Source organism: Homo sapiens, chromosome 2 (assembly GCF_000001405.40).
Source record: "Homo sapiens chromosome 2, GRCh38.p14 Primary Assembly".
NCBI lineage: Eukaryota > Metazoa > Chordata > Mammalia > Primates > Hominidae > Homo > Homo sapiens.
The window spans coordinates 98,285,775-98,311,346 of NC_000002.12; the positions used below are offsets into that span (position 1 = coordinate 98,285,775).

Sequence of the window (25,572 nt, forward strand, 5' to 3'; positions counted from 1 at the left end):
TGCAACAACAACAAAAAGAAAATCCAAAAACAAGCAAACAAAAAGCTTGCTGGGATTTTAATATAAATTATAATGTCTATATATCAGTTTAGGAACAAATGACTATCTTAATAATATCAAGTCTTCCAATCCATGAACATGGTATGTCACTCTACTTATTAGATCTTTGATTTCTCTCAATGATATTTTTTAGTTTTGAGTGTATAAGTCTTCCACTTATTTTGATAAATTTATTCCTAAATATATTCTTTTTTGATGCTATTATAAATGATTTTTTTCTTAATTTCATTTTCAGAGTGCTCATTGCTAATACATAGAAATACAGTTGATTTTTTCAGTACACTTATCTTGTAACATGACACCTTGCTGAACTTGTTAATTAATTCTAGTAGTTTTTGGGTGACTTCCCCGGAGTTTTCACATACAGAATCATGTCATTTATGAATAAAGACAGTTTTACTTGTTCCAATCTGGAGACACCTATTTATTTATTTATGCCTGACTGTACTGGCTAGAACCTCAAATACAATGTTGAATAGAAGTGGTGAGAGTGCCTTACTTTGTTTCTGATCTTAAGGGTAAGTCATCTAGTTTTTCTAAATTAGGTATCATGTTTACTGTAGGCTTTTCATAGATGTCTTTTCTCAAATTGAGAATGTTTTCTTCTATTCCTGGTTTGTTGAGTTTTTATCATAAAAGGGTGTTGGATTTTGTCAAATACTCTTTCTCCTTGCATTGAAATAACCATATGGTTTTATCCTTTATCCTATTAATATGGTATATTACATTAATTGTTATCTTTTGTTCTATTAATATGGGTGTTAAACCAGTGTTGCATTCCAGGGACAAATCCGACTTGGCCATTGTATATAATCCTTCTTATACAATACTGGATTTATTTGCTATATTTTCTTATGGATTTTGTGTCTACATTCATGGGGAATATAGGTCTATAGTGTCCTTTTCTTGTGATATATTTGTCTGGTTTGGTGTTGGGTTAGTGATTCCCCTTCTCTTTTCTATATCAATGATCTTCCTAGTAATTTCTAGTTCCCTATGGCTTCTCTTTTCAGTTCTCCAGCCAGAAATCTGGGTTTATTAATATATACCCAGCTCAGTGGCTTCTATTTATTGTGTTTGCATCTGGAGCCAAACAGAGGGTGGAGAGCGAAAGGGAGAGAGAGAGAGAACAATGGGATTTCACTCCACCTTCTCAAAATCACAATGCCACTAATTAGACAGGAAGATTTAGCCTCCTTTAGAGTTTTAGGCTCAAAACATTGCTGCACTGCCACAGGATTGCTTGGTGACTGAGGTGTGAGAATGGAGAATAAAAAGAGGGGAAAATTTTTGTATTCTTTCTGAGTGTTAGGATTTCCTTTTTCCATTTATTAAGCTAGAACTCTAGGATTCTCCTAGAGCTCTCTCTGTCTGGACCCTTGTGCCTATTTCTGGGTTTTGGACCACGCCAAGAGACACTGGAGAGAACAAATGGTAAACCCACCACTAGCTTGGTGGTACTTTGAGTTCTTATCTTCTTTTCCGACCCTTTTACCACTACATGTTTGCTTTTCAGAATCCTTAAATAGATTTTACTTAGAACTCAAGCTCTTTCTCTGCTATGTTATTTCATTTTTCTAGTAATTCATTTTAATATATTTTACAAGAACATTTGTCCTCAAATTGATTGGGAATTAAAAATAATGACTATTCTGGATGATGGAATGAAGGCTACAGGGGATTTTGAAGGGAGAGATGAATGGGGATTGGATATTTCTGTTAACAGTCATCAAGCATAAAAAAATGGAACTTTAGAGTTGGACTTTACAAGTCAAAATGATGCTAATAGTTTCTGCATGTAGTAGACATAGCCATGACATTTACTCCAACTTTGATTCATGTAGTGCCATTTGGAAATAACAAAACAATCTTTTCCTTTCTTTTTCTGAAATTTCCTGGGGGTGACATTGTTCCAGAAAGGTTATAACTGAGCTGGTCTTTGAAGAAATTATCTGCAACAGGAAAAGGACCTTGTTCGTTTTTAAAGATCCTTTTTCTCTGCGTTCTTCCAATTGGATACATTCTATTGTTTTGTCTTAGAGTACATGGTCTTTTTCTTCTGTTATATCAATTCTATCATTTCTGCTACTGAGTCCTTCCAGATATTATATATTTCACTTCTAAAATTTCCATTTTAATTTAATAGTTTCTATTTCTCTGCTGAAACAAAAAACTACCTTGCCATTTATTTCAAGAGTATTTACCCTTTACCTCATAGACTATGGTTATAATTGCTAATTCAAGGTCTTGATCTGATCATTCCAATATCTGAGCCTTCCCAATTTGGGACTCTATTGATTGCCTTTTACCTTGAGAATTGGTCATATTTGCTTTTTTGTTTGTTGAATTTTTTATTGTATAATGGACATTTTGAATATTTTGAATATTATGTTTTAAGATTCTGGATCCTGTTTAAATTCTCTGAAGGAGATTTAATTTTTTTCCATCAGACTTGGTTAGGTTTAGACTGCAAGCTCTGCCTTACCATCTGTGGGCAGTAGTTTCCATGTCAGTTCAGTTTTAGAAGGCTGTGCTATTCACAGCTTAAGTCTGCATACATCACTCAAGGTTTATACTGGTAATCTGGGACTTGGGCAATGGTTTACATTGTAGTTCAGTTCTCAAAGCCTTTGCTGTGCTGCTTTGAGTGTTTTCTGCACATGTGTACCTTAGGGGTAGTCCAGGACTTTAATTCATTCATATAGAAAATAAAGACATTCTCTTCTCCCTCTCTTTCCTCTGTGAGATTTCCAGATTAATTATTAATTTTTATCAAAGTACATGTTTCATATAGTTCGCTATTTTATGATTTGCTATATTTAAACTTTTAATTCCACTCTATGAAAAATATTATAATTTTACTCTCATCCCTCCCCTCTTTGTCTCCCAATCCTAATATTGGATATTTACGTTATCTTTTATTCTGTTGGCTGCATTTGTAACATTTTATTTAATATACATAAGCCTCTACTTCTTGATCTATCAAGTTGCATAACTTCTTCAATTCCTGAGTTCACATGGTGGTAATACCTATGCTTTTTCTTTCCCCTTTCATTCCAACCTTTCAAGAGCTACACTTAAACCATCGTGTTGTCAATGTTGTACTCTTTCCAAAGGTTCACAGTACGTGTTTAAAATTTTTCATTTAAAAGAACACAAAAAAGTATTTGTACTATTCTAACTGGATAAATATTGTTCAATACTGGGACAAGTCACAGTTCAGGAGTATATGCCTTCCTTAAGGTCCTATGTGATACACTGGCCAATTGAAGAATGTTAATAGCATCAAGCAAAAGGATTTCTTTACCTTTTCTCCTTCAGTATGTAAAATTACGTTACTTGTTTGAATCATTATTTTTGCATATGTTAGATATATATATGCATGCTTGTATATCTATATATGCATATATTTCCAAGATTTCTAAGTCCTCTTTTTTCCTGGGAGACTTCCTGCTGTCTGTGACTTGTGCAGACATGTCATTCTTACTGGAAAAGTGCATTTCCAAATAACTTCCTAATGTAGGATGAATGGGAAGGGAAAGTTTCTACCTAGGGATATGATCAGAAATTCCTTTGTTTTTCCATTTGATTGATAGTTCGCCTGGGTTTAGAATTCTAGATTGAAAGTTATTTTCTCTCAGAACTTTGAAAGCTCTACCCCACTGACTTCTAGCATCCACTGTTGCATCAACCAGGAGATATAAGGAATGAGGATAATTAATTTATTAGCCAATTCAGCCCATGGACTTCTTTCCTCTTTGTGAGACAGCGATCATAAAGGTTCTCCTTTGTCCTGAAGAGGTGGGCTGGGATATTGGATTTCTGTAAAGCACTATGTTTCAGTGCTTGTCTCTCTCAAATTTGCTAGTGGACTTTTCTGTTGAAGGGCCCCTTTACCGCTCACTGTTCTAGGAAGGCAGCAGTGCTGATCATGGTGCTGGTGTAGTCTTTGCTCTCCAGCTTTGAGACTGTCAAAGAATGTCAGGAATTCTAGTTGCATATGTAATTTTTCTTTATTTTCCTTTTCTTCAACTACTCATCCAATTCTCCTTGTACCTTGAGCTAAAGTATAAAAGTTGTGGAGGGCAGATATTGCCCTTGCCAAAATAGTAACATTTAATTAACACAAAGCAGAAAGTGCTCCAAAGTGAGTGTATAGTACAGGGATATTCTGTAATTCTTCTATAATGTGATTCTCAATAGAAAATTTCAGGTATATTAGTCTGCTTCTACATTGCTATAAAGAACTACCTGAGACTGGGTAATTTATGAAGAAAATAGGTTTAATTGACACAGTTCATAGGCTGTACAGGAGGCACAATTGGGGAGGCCACAGGAAACTTACAATCATGGCAGAAGGCAAAGGGGAAGCAAGCACATATTCACATGGCCAGCATGAGAGAGAGAGTGAAAGGGGAGGTGCCACACACTTTCAAACAACCAGATCTTTTGATAACTTTATCACAAGAACAGCACTAGGAGAATGGTGCTAAACCACCCCCATGATCCAGCCACCTCCCACCAGGCCCCACCTCCAACACTGGAACTTGTAATTCAACATGAGATTTGGATGGGGACACAGAGCCAAACCATATCACTAGGCTACCCAGTATTTATCATTTTCAGCATCTGCATTCACTTTTTCTCATCAATTATTTCTGCTTTGTCTTTTTCAGCAACAGAAATTGCAAGGAAATCCAACAAAGAAAACCAAATCAAAAAGACCAGATCCCCTCAAAGGACAGAAGGTTATTGCAAGATGTGATGAAAATGGCTTTTATTTTCCAGGTAGTTTTTTTTTTTTTAATTTCGTGAGGCTTTTGTTAAATAATTTGATACTAGGGACAAGAAGTTTCAACCTGTGCTTTTGCTAGAACACTGACATTTCATGAGCTGGCCTGAGCTAGTCCACTTTTCACAGAGAAGAAGTGGAATATCTCTGGCCAGCTCATGAAATGAGCGTATTTGGGCCCCCCAAAAAAGTAGCCAGAAAAATGCACTTATTTTAATTTCTCATTTTTTAGTAAACAAATTTTTATTACCCATTTACTGCGTTGCATGTATGTAATATTTTGAAAGTACTGGTCTAATGGTATGAGCAAAAAGGTGAACATTCTTGCTTTTTGGAGATTACATCTTAAAGGAGACAGACAAGCAATGAAATAAACAGATAAAATATGTGGTGTGTCAGATACAGTGCCATAGAGAAAAATCAAGCCACAAATGGGGTTGAGAATGTTGGGGTGAGGGTTTTGATTCTATATTTGGTGGTTAATGAAGAGCTCCTGGGGAAGGTGACATATGAATAAGGACTTAAAGGAGGTGGGGCAAGCCATGAGATTGGGGAAGGGAGTTCTAAGCAGAAACAACAGCGGTGCCCAGGCCTCAGGGTGGAGTGCACACGTGTGTTGGAGGAAGGGCCATGAGACTGGGATAGCTGGGCCTCAGAGGTTTGCCCCAGACTTCCTGGGGGATGTGATCCCTGAAGGAATCAGCCAGCTGCAATTCAGCAAGGGGTGGAGGTATGAAGGGAGTTTCATGGATGGTGACAATAATACGTGTGAAGACTTAGAAATGAAGAAAGACATCTATGTCTGGAGAAATAAAATTGATTCTGGCTGGAACATAAAATGAGAAGGAAGGGTGGAAATAATAAAGCTCTTCAGAGAGGTGAGCATGGGGCTATGCATAAAGGGTCATATTAAGGATTTGCACTTTACCCTGAGGGCAATGAGAGCCACATTTAAAGCAGTGAGAAACACAATCACATTTGAAGTTTTCAAAAGCTCTCTCCCACTGCTGTGTGAAGATTGGATACCAAGGGGTTAGGATGTCTCTGGTCCCTGGCTTCGGGTGGTAGATAGATAGTGGTACCTACAGGAGATGGTGGTGTGGATGGAAAGACAATGAGATGTGTCTGCAACATGATGAATTGCAGGTGCCTGCAAGATGCCCAGATGAAGATATCAGAGAAGCAATTGGAGATGTGGGTCTAGAGTCTGGAGACAGAGATTTGGGAGACATAACCACAGAAGTCATCACTGAAATCATGGGAAGGGTCTGTAGGGAAAAGGGAACTGGGAGAAAACCCTGAGGAAGCTCTGTCAGGCAAAAAGATTACATTGCAGGGCGGGTGTGGTGGGTCACACCTGTAATCCCAGCACTTTGAGAGGCCGAGGCTGGTGGATCACTTAAGGTCAGGAGTTCAAGACCAGCCTGGCCAACATGGTGAAACCTCATCTCTACTAAAAAAAAAAAAAAAAAAAAAAAATTAACCGGGCACCTGTAGTCCCAGCTACTCGGGAGACTGAACCAGGAGAATCACTAGAACCTGGGAGGCAGAGGTTGCAGTGAGATCACGCCACTGCACTCCAGCCTGGGCGGCAAAGTGAGACTCTGTCTCATAAAAAAAGATTACGTTGCAGATACGTAGCTGGCCTTTCATAGGCATGATCTATCTATCAACAGTTAAAAGAATAATTATTATTTAAATTTAATTGAATAATATTTTAGGTGGGAAAAAAATACTTCAGCAGGATTTTTGGTTTCCAGCGGGCACATATGTACAACTGACATCAGGGACAGGTTATTTGAAACGTGATAAATGTGCTTGGGAGTTGCCTGGATGAGAGTAAATATGGATCCCAGCACTTGGGATGATCGCATAGGCTAAGGCATGACACCCTTCTTTACAAGGGCTGGGAATCTTCCATTTCTCTGGGGTGCAGATTTTCTAAGAGGTGATTATAGAAGGCCACCCCTGCTTGAGAAATTTTGATTTTCTGAATTTGAGCCTTGGAGAGAGTTTTATGGCTAAACTAGTAGTCGAATGAAAATACTAAAAGTGGGGCCAGGTGCGGTGGCTCACACCTGTAATCTCAGCACTTTGGGAGGCCAAGGCAGGCAGATCACCTGAGGTCGGGAGTTTGAGACCAGCCTGACCAACATGGTGAAAACTCATTTCTACTAAAAATACAGAATTAGCCGGACGTGGTGGCGGGCACCTGTAATCCCAGCTACTCGGGAGGCTGAGGCAGGAGAATCGCTTGAACCCAGAAGACAGAGGTTGCAGTGAGCCAAGATCTTGCCACTGCACTCTAGCCTGGGAGACAGAGTGAGACTCTATCTCCAAAAAAAAAAGAGAGAGAAAAGAAAATGCTAAAAGAGACTGGATTCTAAATGGTTGGGTTAGGGGCTTGGGGTCACTGCTGGCTAGGGCCCCGGGAAAATGTAGAATGGCTCGAACTTCTACCCAGCACCATGCTTGTGTGATGAGAAAATTCTAAAGACCTACTGGGGGGAGTAGAGGAGATGGGGCTAATACCATGGCCATGTGCAATGCCTGAGGCCACAACGGAAATTTTTTTAATGTGCAATTAGAGGCAGAAAGTACATACTATACTCCCAACAGCCGCATGGGATCTGACTAAGCAGGAATTTTTAATTTGCAGTGTAATTAAACTTCAATAAATCAGCTTGAAGGAAATATTTGAATTTAGTCATATAAGCGGTAATTTTGATTAGTGTCTAAGTAGTAAACTTTGACTCAGCCAGATTAAGTGGCAGTGCATGGGTTATCTCCATGAACCTAGTTTTTGTGCCCTCTCTTCCCAGTCACCTGATCTTTTCCTTAACTGGGAATAACTTTACTTTCATGATTTTTTTATTAAAAATTCAAACATACAGAAAAGTCACAAGAATAATACAGAGAACCCCACTATACTCTTTACCCAGATTTGCCAATTTTTAACATTTGGTCACATTTTATCACATATATTATTTTATTCTCTCTTTCATACATATATACACACACCTTATTTTTTATGAACTCTTAGAAATTAGGTAACATTTATCATGTTACTTTATCCCTTAACACATCAGTGTGGATTAAGAGTAAGAATAATCTCTTAATATAACCACAATAAAGGTAGAAAATTCAAAAAACGTAACACTATTATAGTACTTTTATTTAATCTATGTATTTTGATTTTGTTAATTGTCCCAATAATGGCCTTTATCACATTTATTTTCTCCAGGACAGGTCTCAGCCCAGAATCATGTATTGCATTTAGTGGACATGTCTCTAGCCCTCTTTGATCTAGAATCATTCTTTAGCCTTTCGTATTATCTTTCATGATAGTGACATTATTTAAGCATAAGGCCAGTTATTTTACAGAACGTTCCTCAGTTTGGGTTAGATTACATTCAGGTTATCATTGCCGGCCAGAATACTGCCTAAGTGATGTCATGGCCCTCTGGGTCATCCCGTCTAGAGGCACGTGATGCTCACCTGCCCTCATTGGTGATGTTAATTTAGATCACCTGTTCACTGTGAGTCACTATTTTCCCTCACACACACACACACACACAAAAAAAAAAAAAAAAAAAAAAAAAAAGAAGGCCAAATAAAATGTTGCAGAGCATAGGCTTGATGTCATTGGTGACTCCTTTTCTGGTAACTGTTGTTCAAAACCTCCTAAACATTTTTAGTAAAAAAAACAGCTCACTTAAAATGCACCTTAGCAGAAGGCAAGATTGGAGTCACTGGATTGAGGCGTCCACTACATGAGGCCAGGTCCACGCGGAAGCAGAGCTGGCCAGACTGGCTGTTGCCACTGTTGTCGGGATTGTGGTGGGGATTTCCCTGTGACCAACGTTATTCCAGGGGTCAGTGTGGGTGATCCAGTTGAGGAAATGACTGACTGTGTTGTACAGAGCGATAGCCTGGCTTATCTGGATGCCGAAAGGCAAGGAGGAAGACACATTTTCAACCCTTATTTGAAATCATTATTTGTGGAAACTGGGTCATCCTGTTGTTCTGTGAGAAGCAGCATTTTACTTCAGGAAATCCACAGTGATTTCTGCACTATGCCATAAGAAGAAGTTGTCATGAAGAAAAAGGGGACAAAATGGAACACTTTCTCAGGTGTGATGAGCTCAGGTCAAAAGTCCTGTGTTTTCATTTATTTGAGTTCTGCCTCTTGCCTCTGCTGGCCACACGACTGCAATCACTTTGTTTCCCTGTACCTCAGTGTCCCTGTCTTCTCCAACGGGATTTAAAACAATGAAACCCTTCATAAACTGGCTGTGTAGATTAAATGCGATGACGTACAGCCCTTTGTTAATTCCATGGAAAGAGTTTTTCTGCATCCGATGTGAGAGCTCCTCTTAGGAGTAGGGATAAACACCTCGCCTCCTCTCCTGGGGAGGAGGGAGCTGCTTTCTATTTCACAGCAGCTTAGAACCTTTCACAGCAAGTCAAAGCAGCAAAAGTCAGCACAGAGGGTAGAAAGGAAACCTCCGAGACTGGAGGGAGAAGCGGACACGAGGACTGTGAAGGATGACACTGCCGAGGAGTGGGCAGCTGGAGGGATGCTCTGGCTGGAGCAGAGTGAAAGCCTTTTTGAAGAGGTGGAATTTAAGCCGGGCTTTGTATATCGGAAGGTTCTTAGAGCCAAAGGTTTAAAAAAAAGAAAATCCAGTCTCCAGCCTGACAAAACCTATTTGGAGCAAAGGTTCAGAACCACTCATGCATCTTTCACCAAACAAACTGACTTCCACTGTTTACTCAGATTGTGACACCAATTCTCTGACCCCTGAGCACCCGCAGCATTTTTGCTGAAGGCCTCCATAGGAGCACAGGCCCTTTCTCCAGCTGAATACAGGACAACCCCGACTGAGGCAGGGAGCCAACTCATCCCCAGGGAGGCACTGGGCTTACCAGCTTCCGCCCAGAGGAGGGGAGGCAGTGGAAGCTCTGGGCCCGCCAGCCTCTGCCCAGAGAAAGAGGGGAGGCAGTGGAGGTTCTTCAGCTTGCCACCCTTCAGAACCGAGGTCCTCAAACGGGTCCCAGAGATTTCAGAGCTGGGAGACACAGCCTCACCTCTCAAGGCTGAGGACAGAGAGAAACTATAGGGTAAGGGAAGCCAAAAATTGGAGCTGATCTTGAATCAGGACACAAGAAATGGTTGCAGTCCCTTAATTAGATGGAGAAGGAGCAGGTACAGAGGCTTAGCAGTGGTGGGACAGGCCAGTCCTGGGCCCTACAGCTGCCCAGAGTGAGGCCACATGGGGGCCCTCGAGGCCAGGTTGAAGCCAGACCGTAAGAAACTGTGCTCATTTCTGGAGATGAACAAAGACCCACATCTACAGAGATTATACAAAGAAGGAAGGTGAATTAAAGGAACTAAAAAGAAGTCATCATAACAGTCCAAAAAGTTTAGGTCCAAAGAAGAAAGTCAGTGATAAATGGTTTAGGCTTCGTCGGCTACACAGGCTCTGTCACAACTTCTCAATTTAGGCAAACAACTGGAAAACTGCCTAGTAGGCTTGATACTGGATACTGCTAAGTCCCAAAGGCTAAGGATTTGAAGAGAGTCACATGGGCCAGTGTGGCTGTAGTGGCAGCTCAGACCCTTCCCTGGGGCCGTGGGAGGGACGTGGGGCACACAGTGCGTGGCAGGAGACGAGTCCCCTGATTCTCAATCAGGAGCGGCTCTTGTTTCCAGAATAGAAATTATTTCTAAAAGGTAGTATTTGTTTTTCTGATTAAAAAGGTAAAGTCAGTTTATGGTAGAAATGTGTGAATAATGTGTAAATATTTCAAAACCCAAAGTAAACATTTTAGTCCGATCAGAAAACACACAATGGTAAGCTGGCTTGAGTGTGCATATTTTTCAAAAAAAATTCATTCCTTTGGCCATTTAAAACAAGACACATGGATCAAGATGAAAATCAGCAGCTATCTCTTTGCCCCATGAGAGGACACAGGGCTTTGCTTAGCAGGCACGTGAGCCAGGACTGGGGAGCTGCTGCAGCACATGCCGTGGAGCCCAGCGGGACGCGTGTGCTCATTTCTGTCTCCAGGAGGGTCTGTGAGCAGCTGATACTGCTGGGGGAGGTGTCCAATGTCATCATCTCCCCCTTAATGTTTAGAATCCCTTTTTAATGGGAGGATAAATTTCAAGTCGGATAAATTACAAAAAATATACATCTTAACACAGGTATTTTCTTTTCCTAGAATGATAATCTATTCTAATAATTATATTAATTAAAATGTATAACAAAATTATTATATAATTAAATAATATATATGTTTGTGTGTATATATATTAGGCTGGTGCAAAAGTAATTGTGGTTTTGGTCATTTTTTTAATGGCAAAAACCGCAATTATTTTTATACCAACCTTATGTTATCTATCATGCACTCCTTTAGTATAACAAAAAAAGAAACTTCTTACCTCTTTTTTCATTTTTTTTTTTTTGAGACATAATTTTGCTTTTGTCGCCCAGGCTGGAGTGCAATGACGCAATCTCAGCTCACTGCAACCTCCACCTCCCGGGTTCAAGCGTTTCTCCTGCCTCAGCCTCCCGAGTAGCTGGGATTACAGGCGTGTGCCACCATGCCCAGCTAATTTTTGTATTTTCAGTAGAGACGGGGTTTCACCATGTTAGCCAGGCTGGTCTTGAACTCCTGACCTCAGGTGATCCACCTGCCTCAGCCTCCCAAGGTTCTGAGATTACAGGTGTGAGCCACCACGCCCAGCCTTACATCTTTTTTCTTTGTTCCTTTCAGCTGTATATTTTGGGGAAGCTGAGTATGTTCAGTCTAGTCAGATGAAAAGCCAATTTGGATGGGAGTTTATATTTCCTTTTTACTTTCCCAATTTAATTAACAACATGTATTTTCTATCTTTAAGTATTATGGAAAAAAATAGGGCTAAAGTAAATGAAAATATCAGGTGGTAGGAGGTGTTCGAGAAGAGGATCTTTATTTCCAGGACCCATGTTCCTGTCAGGATGGGGGCTGATGGCGCAGGATGAACAAGTCTAGTCCATTCTCACTGGTTCTCATCTCAGCGGGTGCCCAGACCAGGCATGTGCACCACTTTGAATTGGTCAACCCAGTAGGCATCCTATGGTGCCCAAGATTATCTGCTGGAGAAATCAAAGGGGCACACTGATTTAAACAGGCAAAGTGTTATAACTCAGCATGGCCAGAAAGATGGCACAAGCCTAAGGGAAGGGATGTTATTTGTCTTTATATTTTATGTTTTCTTTGATTCCTTCCAGGGGTTGTGAAGAAGTGTGTGAGCCGCACCCAAGCACTGGTGGGCTTCAGTTACGGAGACACCAAGGTCGTGTCCACCTCCTTCATCACGCCTGTGGGGGGCGCCATGCCCTGCCCGCTGCTCCAGGTACCCAGTCCCTGATGTGTTCTGGGGCCCCTTTTCACCATCCACAGAGTTTTGAATAACAGAACGCCAAGGCCACTGTTTGGCCCTTTGCTGAACCTACACGGGCTCCTGCAGGGAGGGTGTGTTTGGGCAGGAAGAACAATGGCCCCTGTTCTGGGACCTGTCACCTGGAGATTTCTTTGCTCGTGACCCTGACCTGCCAACTCCCTGTTATGTAGCTCAGGGCTGCACAGACTTGTTTGCACTGCACCTTGAGGTCCTTGTCCCTTTACAAGACAATAGAGTTTGGGGGAAGGACATTGCTGTAGCTGCCAGTACTGTGGACACTTTTAACTACAAAAGATTCTATTCTATTCTATTCTATTCTATTCTATTCTATTCTATTCTATTCTATTCTATTCTATTCTATTCTATGCCATGCCATGCCATGCCATGCCATCCCACCCCATCCCATCCCATTCCATTCTATTCTATTACATAATAACAAGGGCAGAGGTAGCACTTTCCTTGGCACTGTAATCAGCTGATGTCAGACGGTGATACCGTAATGCACAGTTAGCCCAAATGTGCATTCCATAGATGTGTCACCGGAGGAAAGGCCATGAATGTCAGTTGTCCAGGGGTGTTTTGAACAAAGAATTGAACAATATGCACAAATAAAGTAACAAAGGAATGGAACACAGGAATGAAGCTGCGAATGCAGGGGTTTATTAAAGTGAGAAAGCACTCCACAGGGTGGGAATGGGCCCGAGCAAGAGGCTCAAGGGCGCTGTTACAAAGATTTCTGGGTTTTAAGTACCCCTTTTGAGGTTCCTATGGACTACCCCTTATCTGGATGAAGGATTTGGTCTGTGGCTAATTAAAGGCTGAGGTGAATTAGTGCCCTATGTAGATGAAGGGATGGTCCCTGCTTGGCCTGTGGCCAATCCAAGGCACACTCCCTTTCCCTCTGAGCCGGGGTGGAAAGGGAGGGTTGCAGGGAGACTGGCCTTTGACCCTTTGCTACCCGGCGTCAGGAGATGGGGTTTCTCCTTTTGGTTTAGCTTTAGGAAGTTTGCAGTGATTGGCCTTAGGTTCCCTGCCTCAGACCCAGATGTTTTCCCTTTGATTTAACTTTAGGAAATTATCACAAATTGGCCCCAGATTCCCTGCCCCCCAGACCTTGGTGCTTTCCCTGCCCCCAGACCTTGGTGCTTCGCTTGATTCAGCCTTAGAAAGTCAGCATGAATTGACCTTAAGTTCCCTGACTCCAGACCCTGTTCTCCTGCCTCAGTTGGGCCAGATTAATGTGTTCTCATCTGCTCACAAACTCATAAAAGCTGTGCCATGTCTGGCTCATCCTCTTGCCGCGTTCCTAATTCCAGCTCCAAGGCCTGGGATTAGAGGGAAATCCTTGCAGAGCACCCTGCTGCTGTCTTGCCCAGTGTGAGCCGGGAGGAGAAGCGCTGGAGGAGGAATTGGAGAATTCATCCTTGGGCCTCTGCTGCTGCTTCCTAGTCAGAGCACTGGAACACAACAGTGCTCTTGTACCCTGATGATGCAGAAGGGCCTGCAGCCTCTGCATGTCCCTCCACAAGATCCTTTTTCTGCTGCAAATTCTCCGTTTGCGACTTTTACCCTTGGATTCTGGGTGTGTGCTTTGGAGCAACAATAAACAAACCTCTCCCTTTCTACGTCTTGGTGACAGCCCTTCTGGCAGATGAGGACACTGTTTATCTTTGCATGACAAACACCCCAGGTTCCTTCAACTAGTCTCTTTAGGGTGTGGTTTCCAGAACCCTCACCATCTTGCTGGCAGACCCTTGGGTCCTTGTCAGTTGGTGAAGTCCTACCAAAATGGGGCTTCCCAAACTGATCACAAAATTCCAGATGTGGCCCAATGAGCCCAGAGAATCTTGGAACTCTTTCTTAACTGAGAAAAAAAATATCTATTTGAATTTTAGCATCAGTACTTGCCAATTGCCTTGGAGTATTTTAAAACTTGCTTATGTTAACATTGTCTGTACAATCCATAAGCAAAATATTTGCTCTATGTTCTCCTCTGCAGGTTGGAGATTATGTGTTTGCCAAAATTGTGATACCCAAAGGATTTGACTTCTATGTCCCTGCCATTGTCATAGCACTTCCCAATAAGCATGTGGCCACAGAAAAATTCTACACAGTTTTGAAGTGTAACAACCGGAGAGTAAGTAGATTTTCATTTAGAAAAGGACTTTCTCCTGGGCAATGCCAGGCTGTATCCTGGCACTGCCAGGCTTCTTGATGAATGGTTTCCCTGGCTGCATCTGCTGCCCTGCTCTCCACTCCCTGTGTTTTGGCTTCTGCCCACCGTGCCACACAGACCCTGCCCTCACTGAGGTGGCCATGGCCTCTGCTGCCTGTACTGTGCAGTTCTTTGGCTCCCACTGCTGAACCATGCTTTGCATTTGACGGACTGGCAGGCTCACTCTAGGGTCTTGGAGCACCACTCTCTCTGGCTCTCCGTCTTCCTCATCCTCGCGTCCTCATCCTCCTCCTCCTCCTCCGCCTCCTCAGACTGCCCCTGCTTTGAGGTCCCCTGCTGGCCCTGCAGACTTGGTCACCTCCTGGGCCACCGCTAGTGCTGTCCTCCTCTGCCTCCTCCTGGTGTCTTTCGGTGTGAGCCTCCATCTCTGGACACCTCCTCTGTGCCAGAAGTGCCAGCCCCGCTCCTGCCCTGAGCTCCAACCCTGTGCTTCTAGCTGGGTCCTCCTGGAGCACTCCCTCAGAGTGAACACAGGCATCTCAGACTCCGCAAGCCAGTGCACCCCCTTTCCCCAAGCGCCTCCTTCTCCTCTGTGTCCCCTGTATTGGGGTGCTACTACCTGGTTCCCCATCTCCTACTTACCTAGGAACCACCTCCAGAGTTGGCAGAAGTTGGGAGACATAAGGGCGGACAGGCACAAAGTGGAGTAGAGTGAAAAGAACACAGGCTTTACAGTTAAAAGCCCTGTGTTTAGGCCAGGTGCGGTGGCTCACGCCTGTAATCCCAGCAATTTGGGAGGCTGAGGTGGACAGATCACAAGGTCAGGAGATCGAGACCATCCTGGCTAACACGGTGAAACCCCATCTCTACTAAAAATACAAAAAATGAGCCGGGCATGGTAGTGGGCGCCTGTAGTCCCAGCTACTCGGGAGGCTGAGGCAGGAGAATGGCGTGAACCTGGGAGGCAGAGCTTGCAGTGAGCCGAGATCACACCACTGCACTCCAGCCTGGGCGACACAGCAAGACTGTCTCAAAAAAAAACAAAAAAACAAAACAAAAAAAAAAACCTGTGTTTGAATTATATGAACATTCACTCTGCTCTTTATTGGTTGTCTGACCTGAGCAGGTTGCTTCACCCCCTGAGACTCAGTTTGGTCACATATAAAATGAATACTTTACATATCTATATCTGTATTTATCTATGTATACCCTACAGGGTGATTGTGAGGCTTGAAGAAAAGACATGTAAAAGATGTAAAAGATCTGTGTGTCTGACAGGTAGGTGTTAGGTAACAGTAGTGATGATGTGGCTGCAGAGGTTGGCAGCATCACTCAGATCCCTTCCTTCTACACTCCCCAGTGCCAGCGAGTGGGAATGACTCGGTTAACTGTATCACCTCTAGATTGATTTGCTCATTGGACGGATGTTTGTTAAGGGTCTGTATTGTCTGTTGGATCGTTTGTCTTTTTTATTGACTAGGGGAGGTCTTCTCTGCCTTCTGGGTAGTAATTCTTGGTAATATATGCAGCCAATAGTTTTCCCCGGTCTGTTGCTTGTCTTTTAACTTTGGAATCTTTGTTGACAGGAAGCATTAAATTTTAATATGGTCAAATTTATCCCTCTTCTCCTTCTGCCCTTTCTATGTTTATTTAAGAAATCCTTTCTTAATTATATATTTCTGTATGTAATTTTTCTAAAAGTTTCAGAAGAATTCTTTATCAGTTTACGAAACTGATGATGTAGTTTGCCTGATTGACGTCTCCTGCCTCCTCTCAACCCACACACATGCTTCGTGTCACCCTCAGGGAGTATGCCCCCAGGACCCCAGTGTGGCCCCAGCCGGCTCCATGAGCTTGACCTCCAGCCAGGTGGAAGACTCACTGCTTCCTGAATGCGGTGGGCTTTTTCAAGTCCCAGGCTTTTGCCTCTTCCTGGACTGCCCTCCCCATCTCCTCTCCCCCAAACTCCCGTCACCCTAAAGACTCTGCCTGATTGTGACTTCCTGCAGGCCCTCAGGTTCCTCCTGTCCACTACACTGCACTTGCCAAACTGGCTTCCTCACCAACCTCTCAATCCTTGAAGGCAGAGACCACGTCTGTTCACCTTTGTCCCTCCCAGCACAGTCCCTGATGAAGAGAAGGGTCTCACAATTGTTTTTTAAATTACTTGAATGAACGACATTCCTAATGGAAAATGACATTGTTTTGATGGACGACTTAACATGCCTGGAAAACAGACCCACAAGTGAACTAGATTGGTGAGCAAAAAGCCAGGTAACAGTGGCTCTTTCTTAGGACCTTACTGTGTGCCATGCATTCCAATCCAAGCGCTTTACACAGAGTGGACCCTTGGATCCTCAGAACACCATGAGGTAGAGACTATTATTACACTGATTTCCAGAAAAGGAATTGAAGCAAGAGGTTAAAGCACACACCTGGTGTGTTGAGTAGGCATTCGAACACAGACAATCTGGCTCCATGGCCTACCCTCTAAACTACCATGCCCGGCTGCCTAGGATACAGAATAAAAATATCCAGTGCCTCCTTGACTGTGGCATGAGGTAGTTCCACCAGGGAGAGGGGCATGGGAAATGAAATTTAGGGTTAAGCGCAAAGGAGAAAGACCATCAGAGCCAGCGGCCACTGGAGCACTGTATCCAACCCAACAGGGCAAGCGGAGAAGGAGTTGTCTGCTCATCACCCCAGAAAAAAACCCCTTGGAGAAAATGGAGTTTCCTGAAGCTGTCTGGATAGCAGTAGAGAAACATCTGGAAGGGCAGAGCATGGGGAAGCCTTCCCCTTCCTGATGTGTGGGACCATTCTGGGGATATCAACTGTGAAAGGGAGGGATGTTTTAAGAGATGTCCCCGGGCATGCCCTAGGGTGTGGGGAGAGATGAGGCAGTTGGCCCAGGACCCCTGAGGGGAAGCCGCAGACCCCAGAAAAGGACCTTGAACTTACCTACAGGACATGGGGCCCTGGAGGCTAGAGTGGCATGGCCGGGGGCGGGGGGTGGAGGTGGGTGTGGCAGGGTGGAGGGGGAAGGATACTGGAGACAGTTCTGATAGGGACTTGGGGAGACCCAAAGAGGGTGAAGGTGGGGCAGTCAGCAAAAGTGGTGGCCAAAGGCTGAAATAAAGATAGAAAGGAAGGTGGTTATGTGAAGGTGTGTGTGTGTGTGTGTGTGTGTGTGTGTGTGTGTCTTACGTGGGTACATTTGGCAATTGATCCAGAATATGGAGAAATGACAGAGAGGACTCAATGATGACTTTTATTCAGCAAATAATTGTCAAGTGAGGGTCTGAATTTGAACTACTCTTTTAAGTGTCACCCTGAATAGGATAATGACTAGAAGCTATTATAATGGGTTGAGCTAGAATAAAATTGTATCTGAATTGTGGACATTTCTGATTTAAGTTGAGTGAACTCTGTTGGTATTATTACAGGAATTTTGCCCTCGGAGTGCACTTATTAAGATCAGCCAAAACAAGTATGCGCTCTCTTGCTCTCATATAAAGTCACCCCCAATTCCTGAGGATCCAGAAGTGTAAGTGTACTCAACTTTTATCTCTTGAATATTAATTTATATCCTTGCACCTTTAATCTGTTTTTGAGATGAGATCCATGACCTCTAAATACTAGGGAAGAAAAGTAGAGATGCAGAATGTCCTACTTAAAATGTAGCTCTGTGTTTATTATTCCTTCGACGTCACACCTTTCACCTGCTACTTATTCATCCATCTGGTTCTAATCTCAAATTCTACATTATTTGACCCTTCAGGAAAGCATTCATGAATATGAAGGAATTGTTCCCCTTTTATTTGTAAAGACTGAAGGCCTTCTAATTAAGTTGCATTTGGGTCCAGTCACCTACCTACCTCTCCCCTTGCTGGGAGGTGGGAGCAAGGGGCTGGCCCTGGCTTGCCTGTAGCCAGGTCAGGGTGTTGGAGGGGCGGTGGCTTCCAGGGGCTGCAGTGGAGTGAACACATTTTCAGGTGAGGTAGTAGGATGGCTAAGAGCTGTAAGGTAGACTAAAGCCAAGGCAAAAGGAAAGGGGGAGGCCTGCAGAGCAAACACGAACCCAAGTCCATGGGGCCAACGAGGGGCATCAAAATTGGGCTCATGGAGCCATGACCTTGGAGTCAAGGTCATACAAAAAGAGATGAAGTTGGATGTTGAGCAAGTGTTGGGGAAAAGGACCCAGGAAACATCTTCCAGTTTCTGTTAGAGCTTGCAGGCTGTCTTTGGGTGCTAACCTTCATTCTCCTAATGGCCTTACCTTCTACTTCGTCAAAGAACCATCAGACATCCTCTCCCTCCACTTCTGATCTCCCACTTCTGGGCTTATGGAAGTCTCTGCCTTTGCCCCCGATGTCAAAGAATCAGTGTCCTTCCTTTCACCCCAGGCTGATCTGTCCATTGGGCTCCAGAGGCCCATCCTCCACTGCCTCGGGTCCTGGATCCATCAGTGATCCCTGGATTCTTCTCACCTCTCTCCTTAGCTCCTCTTCACTGAGCCCTTCACCTCAGCAAGTACACAGGTTGGCCTCCTGTTCACACACACGCAGCACCCACAAACACACACACTCCTAAATAAATACCGTTCCCTTGGTTCCGCAGTGTGATCCAGCATGCTCCCTGCCCTTCACTGCCGGTCTCCATGCGTCATCGGATAGACTCAACGTCCCCACTCTCCTGTTCACTCCTGAGCCTTGGATATAGGCATCCACCCTTACCCCTCCAAGAAACTGCTTCCACAGAGGCCACACGGGACCTCTCACGAGCCTGAACCAGTGAGCTCCGCCCTCACTGACTGAACCTGCTCCAGAGTCGCTTTGGACGCCACCAGCCACTCCCTTCTGCCCTAAACCCTCCTCTTGAGGCTCGTTGCCCCTCTACCTCTCTGGGGTTTATCCCTGCCTGACTTCACTGCCTCTCACTGCCTCCATGACTCCCTTTGCACTAAGGACCCCATGTCTCCTTCTCCAACCCAGGCTGCTCTCCTGTGCTTGTGTGTCACAGTCAGACTCCGAGAGTGGGCCTGGAGGCAGGTTTTTCTGAAAGCCCCCAGCTGGTTGCAAGGTGCAGCCATGATGGGTAACTATAGGGGGAAGAGCATTGGAACCAAGATTGGGTTTATATCCCAGCCCTGCCCTCATTAGTTTTGTGGTTGCTCATCGACCCTGAGCTCATCTGCAGGATGACAGTGATGTGAAGATTGGGGACGGTCATTGTCTGGCAGGTGTTCAGCACATTGTGGGAAGGGCATTGTTTCCAACCACCCCCTGGATATTTCCACCTGAGTGTACAGAATCTCAAAAATTCAGCACATCTAAAACTGAAATCAGAGCTCCCCACAAACCTGCTCCCATCTCGGGCTTCCCCATCTCAGTTCACCCTTTTACCCACAAGTCACGGAGCTGTCCAGCCAGAAATCTGGTGGTCATCTTTGGCTGCTGCTTGTCCTTCACCTACCACACCCCCTTGGTCTCCAGGTTGCAGGCATCCTAACTGGCCAGGAGTTCTCATGTCCTCCAGCCTCCTCCTGCCACAGTCCCAGTCACTCACCATAAGGGCTGAGCAGAATCAACTTCCTCACATGCAAATCTGCCTGTGTCCCTTCCGCACTTAAAAATCCTTCAGAGCCCCATCCCCATCACCCCTTCTTATCACAGCTTAGCTTCTTGTTGGTCTGGCCCAGACCTGCCTACCTTGCCTCACTTGTCCCTAGCCACTCCCAGCTAACCCACCAATGCCTTCTGCATGCTAACCACACTAAGCTACATGTAGGTTTTGCCCACACCATGCTTTCTCAGGTCTCTGTGCCTTCACCAGATTAAGTATTCTCCCTGGACAGCTATTCCTTGCCCTCAGCCACCTGGGGAACTCCAAGACTGAGCTCAAACGTCAACACCACCATGTGATGTCCCAGCACCCTAGCCCCCCCAGGTAGTGAGGTGGCCCCACGGCAACCCGTAGAGGTTTCTGTTAAAGAAAATTTCCTTTGCATTGGACACTGTAGGCACAAGTCCTTGAAGGTAGGGGACAGGTTCTATCTGCCTCTGAATCCCAGTTGCCAGGGTCCAGCTCACAGAATGCCCCCAATGACTATTTGAAGAACAAATAAATATATACAGACACATGCTAGCAGATGCCCAGCGATGCTCCTCAAGGGGTGTGCGGCTCCACAGAGAACCTTTCCTTAGCTATGATTATCAAAAACGTATGCTACAATTCTCCATTCTTTGTCTAGATGGGTTGATACTTCATTTAAAATAGCAGGACATTTTCTGCTCATCTCAAACATCTACCCCAACAATGGTCCCTGTGGGTCTTGCTTCTGGTTCCTATGATGTCCAAATTACAGCTCATTATAAAGGAATATGAGCAGATGTATCTAAGTATTACCCATTTTCACCAAACTCAATGTTATCAATCATTATTTTAGAATGAAAATGCAAATCCTTGTATGTTGAGAAAAGCCTTTGTTTTCCATCTTCCCCAGGCCTTATTTAAAGCTCTTCACTGTGAATTATCTACCCTTGCTTCTGGGCTTCACATGGTGGAAGTCTTCATTGACTCTCGAGTCCCCCATTGTAATTTCTACTCTTTTTTATGTTGGCTGCCTCTGTGGGAGCAAGAGACTGAGTTTAATGCTCATAAGCAGAGATCACATTCAACCTACTAAGTTCAGAGCTTAACCTGTCTCTGTTTCTATAATAAGGGCTAGCAGAACCGAGTACAAAAATAAAGGCATAGGTCTGATTTTGTGTCTGAGCTGGGATTTCCTTCTGGTAGGTCCCTTCCTCAGGAGCTCTTTCTCACTTACTTTACAAATGTGTTCCTTAGGGAGCATTCATGCCATTATTCCTGTTAGAAATGCTTATTCCCCGGTGCTATAAAGAAATAGCACTTGAACATAAATTTAATTTCTTCCGCAAGGCCATTTTTATACTTTCTGCAGAAAGGGTACACTTGCCAGCAGTTTTGCCATGAGAGTACACCGAACAAAGGAGACAGGGTCATTTATAACCTGACGTGTCCACCCTGCTGCTATGCCCGGTTTCCATTGGCTGGAACGGGACCTCACATTCTGTATTTGTTCTGACTGACTAGCAACTTAGAACTTTTTTAAAGAGGCAAAGGCAGAGGAGAGCAAAGGAAGGAGGAAGTAACTTGGGGAATGCTGAGAAAGGTAAAATCACCTTCAAATAAGGAAGAGGAACAGGCTATGACCTAACGCTTGCTTGGACCAGTATAAGCTTGCCAGGGCAAATATTTAAACTAAATTGTGAGAGCTAAGAACATAAAGTACATTGATTTCTTTATTACGGTTAGCAGATGTTTAAGAATGTTAGCACAGGTCTTTGAATAAATTTTGCTTCTAAGAGAAGTTACTCGTTATTCCTAATTAGATGGGGAGGAAAGTCTTTGAAGAGGAACCTCTACTTTACTTTTTACATTCCAAATGAGGCCATCTAAAAAAATCCTGATGCTTTCTTCACAGGCTATTAAAGACATGTACTGTAGGTTACATCTCCAACAGAACATTATTTGACTAAATTTAATTTTTAAATATTGAATTTACTATAACTATCTGCTTGCAGGGTAAAGCAAGGGATACCTGGGCCCAAACAGCCTCCATCTTCCCCCCAACCTCCTTTCCTTCCTTCTGGGAGCCTTTCCTCCAGGTCTCTCTTCTGGCTTCTGAGTGAGAACGGTGCACAGTGAAAGGCAGGAAGAAAGGCATTTGGAGGCTGAAGGGCTCAAAACTAATTGAACACAGCGAAATCTGATGCACATTTTCATTTTCAACTTAAAATTTGACACCTAAATGATTCTTAAAGACTTTTTTTAAAAAAACAAGATTGGCTTATAAAATATGTTATCAATATTGCTAAATTCCAGACTACTCATTCCTCAAGGAGGGGATGCTGGTATTGCCATATTTGCAATGTGAAACCAGCTAGGCGGGTGCAGATTTTCTCTTTCCTTTGCAGCATGACGACGGCATTCTCTGACACACGGCTGAGAGGCGTGTCTTTCAAGACAGTGTGTCCGATGGAGGGAAATAACTGCTCTTCCCTTCCCTTCCGTTCAGGAGTGTCCCTGAGCTTTCTGCTACATTCCATGGCATCAGAGATGTCTTTTCTGAGGGAGAATAGTCCGTATCCTGTCTATAACTGCCTCCATTTGAGAACATATGTGTAGTTTCTCCCATGTGGTCCTTCTCAATAACTACAAGAAACAGGCAGAACAGAGGGATTTTCCTCCATTTGGCATCCTCTCTCCTTGCCAGGGCAGGGGACTCACAGACCAAGTCCTTCCCTGGCTGCCTCCCCTGGCGTCCCGTTCCCATCAGAGGACTGTGGCCTCTGGCCAGGGCAGGGGGAGGCACCTGGTGGGTCTGATGCTCCAGCTGCTGGTGTTCTCCAGTGGAGAGAGGTGCCTCTAGCAGGCATTACTCAACCACCCACAGGCTGGGGTTTCAGGCCGCCTGAACTGAATACACACACCTGGTGCCACTTAACTAGCTAGAACTCTCTCCCAGATGAGCTGGAATCCTTCCTCCCCTTACCCTTAACAGAGCACAGCTTGTTTTTACCTTCAAGACTCCTCCTTAAGAAGACTCCTGTCCGGGGGCAGTGGCTCATGCCTGTAACCCTAGCACTTTGGGAGGCCGAGATGGGCAGATCATTTGAGGTCAGGAGTTCGAGACCAGCCTGGCCATTATGGTGAAACCTCGCCTCTACTAAAAATACAAAAATTAGATGGACATGGTGGTGGGCACCCTTAATCCCAGCTACTCGGGAGGCTGAGAGAAGAATCACTTGAACCCAGGAGGTAGAGCTTGCCATGAGCCGAGATCACACCACTGCACTCCAGCCTGGGCGACAGAGCGAGACTCTGTCAAAAAAAAAAAAAAGAAAAAAGAAAAAAAAGCCTTTTTAGAGGGAGTATGATTTATTTTTAAAAAAATAATAACTTTCCAAATGTGATATCAGGAAAGCAAAATAGGACTCAGCATTTCCTCTGTGCTCCAGGGAAACATCAGGCATCTGAAGGAAGCTGTTAGGTTCTGGGGCCCTGGAGGCAAGGCATGTTCTTCTCTTGCTGCTTGAGGGTCATTGTGTGGTCCTGGGGACATGGCTATGTATGAGTCGGCAGGAGGAGAGACCCTCCCAGGGCCAGGTGGGGTTTGTCTGGGTCTCTGGTCAACCCCTGTTCCCCACAATTCCTGTTACACAAAATATTAGCCTCTCATTATCTGTCTTTTGAGCAGTTGAGGAACTTTCCATGAAGCCATTGGATTTGGGAGTGTGTCCCAGTGGAAATGATACCGTGCGCAGTGTTTAACACTCCTCCCTTGACCCCGTGTAGTGTTGTGGACTCACATTGTCTCCTGACATCAGTGAAATTAAGTCATTGATTGAAACTTCAAGATTCAGCTCTGCCTCTGACATTACGTCAGATGAATCACTTCACTTAATCTCGCCTGGTCACTCCTGACGATTTTCTCCTAAGAGGCGTCTGTGCATTTGAAATCATTAAGCCTCTGTATGTCATTAGCTCCCTCCGTCCCCTCTGGTTGGATTAGGAGCCCCATTTCTTATGCTGGAACAAAGCCCTGAAAAACGTGCAGTTCAGCAACAAACCCTGTCTGTGAGTGTCCTATGTAATTTAGAAGGACACGTGCCGTTGCTTACATTCAGGAAGCATGTGGTGGTGCCCTAGGACATGGGACAAGGGGACACAAGGAGACACAGAGATTCGCCAGCCTTCAGGGCCAGCAGTAGCAATTCAGATAGCAACAGCCTTTGCTTATCCATTTCTTCATTCTCCACCCCTTCAGTTGCTGAAAGTCTAAGACCCCCCACCGGGTCTTCATCAAACATCTGCTGGTGCCTACTCCATGGGTCCTCTTGTTCTTTATGTTCTAAGGCAGCCTTGCTGAGAGAGAGACACTTAGGGCACAATACAAACGAGACCTCAGGAATCCAGCAGGATTTCTGACAAGCTGCCAATGCTTTATTCAGCAAAGGGGGTGGGTTCTGACCCCAGGAGGGCATGGAGTGGGCACTCAGCACTTTCTTCCCAGAAGTGGAACCAGCACAGCGCCAGAGTCCTCCAGGCAGGGGGGTAGGCATCTCCCTACCTTGTTCTTTCCATGCTTTTAATGCCTGAAAATCTCTCTACTTCTCACATCCGCTTCTTGTCGCTCCTCTTTCTGAGAGATTATAGCTTAGGGACTGGACTGTAATCATGGATCCTAACTCATGGAAAATAGAGAAAAACCCTGAAAAAGAAACAGAATGTATCAACTTATTCTGCTCTGGAGAGAGGTAGCAATTTGAGGGATAGTTGAGGGTAACCTGATGGATAAGATTTTAGACTTCACAGAGCAGGGGCGGTAAGTGTACCCTTGAAGCATGATTCCTAGAAGTCTCTCAGAACCTGCTATCACAGAACCTATACATCCACACAAGCGCTGGCCTCAGATTTAAAGATGATTTTGTCTGTGGCCTCCCAGAAAGGCTTTTCCCAATGTCACTGCTGTCGCCCAGGCCAATTTTTTAATCTCTCTTGGGAATCTCTCCTGAGTCTTTGAGCCAATCTTTGAAAATGATCATGTGCAGTGAATCTTGATTCTTTCACAAGGGATTTGAATGGTGGCATTTTCTATTTGAAAATAGCAAAAACTCTCTTTCTACTTTATTGTTTTGTTTTTCCCTGACAATTTCCAAAAGGATCCGAAGCAGTAATAGTCAGAAGTTATGCGGAGTAAAAACAAAACAAAAAATTATTCGGATTGAAGGCAGGTTGATCAAGATAGCTGATACTGATTATGGGAAGAAAATAAGGTTTAACATTAGGCAGTGGGTGTCCTTAACTTACCCTGAAGGCCCTGAAAAAAGGTGAGCTCCCAAAACGGTGAGCCATGGAGGCATGGCTGGAATGAGGTCATGGTGTTATCAAGGTGCCTTCTTTGAAGGACAGCACTTCTGGGTAAATAAGCTTTGTCAGCGTATTTTCTAAATAGTAATCTAGCTCTGTGACTTCATAGTCATTCCTAAGTTCAATGTCATTACA

The 25,572-nt window shown here is 44.1% G+C and overlaps 1 protein-coding gene across 15 annotated transcripts in view; it reads left to right on the forward strand.

Annotated features, from left to right (window-relative positions):
* The window catches only part of VWA3B (von Willebrand factor A domain containing 3B), a 243,450-nt gene that overhangs the window by 198,608 nt on the left and 19,270 nt on the right, over nt 1–25,572 (forward strand). For 14 of the 15 annotated variants that reach the window (XR_922885.4, NR_144296.2, XR_922884.2 and 11 more), the window contains 4 exons: nt 4,737–4,848; nt 12,133–12,257; nt 14,305–14,442; nt 17,928–18,028. Coding sequence is in view for 12 of the 15 variants with exons in the window: in NM_144992.5 (NP_659429.4) it covers nt 4,737–4,848; nt 12,133–12,257; nt 14,305–14,442; nt 17,928–18,028 (476 nt within the window). In the remaining 3 variants the exon portion in view is untranslated. The remainder of the gene's footprint in view (nt 1–4,736; nt 4,849–12,132; nt 12,258–14,304; nt 14,443–17,927; nt 18,029–25,572) is intronic. The other variant, XM_011510772.2, reaches the window with a different exon arrangement.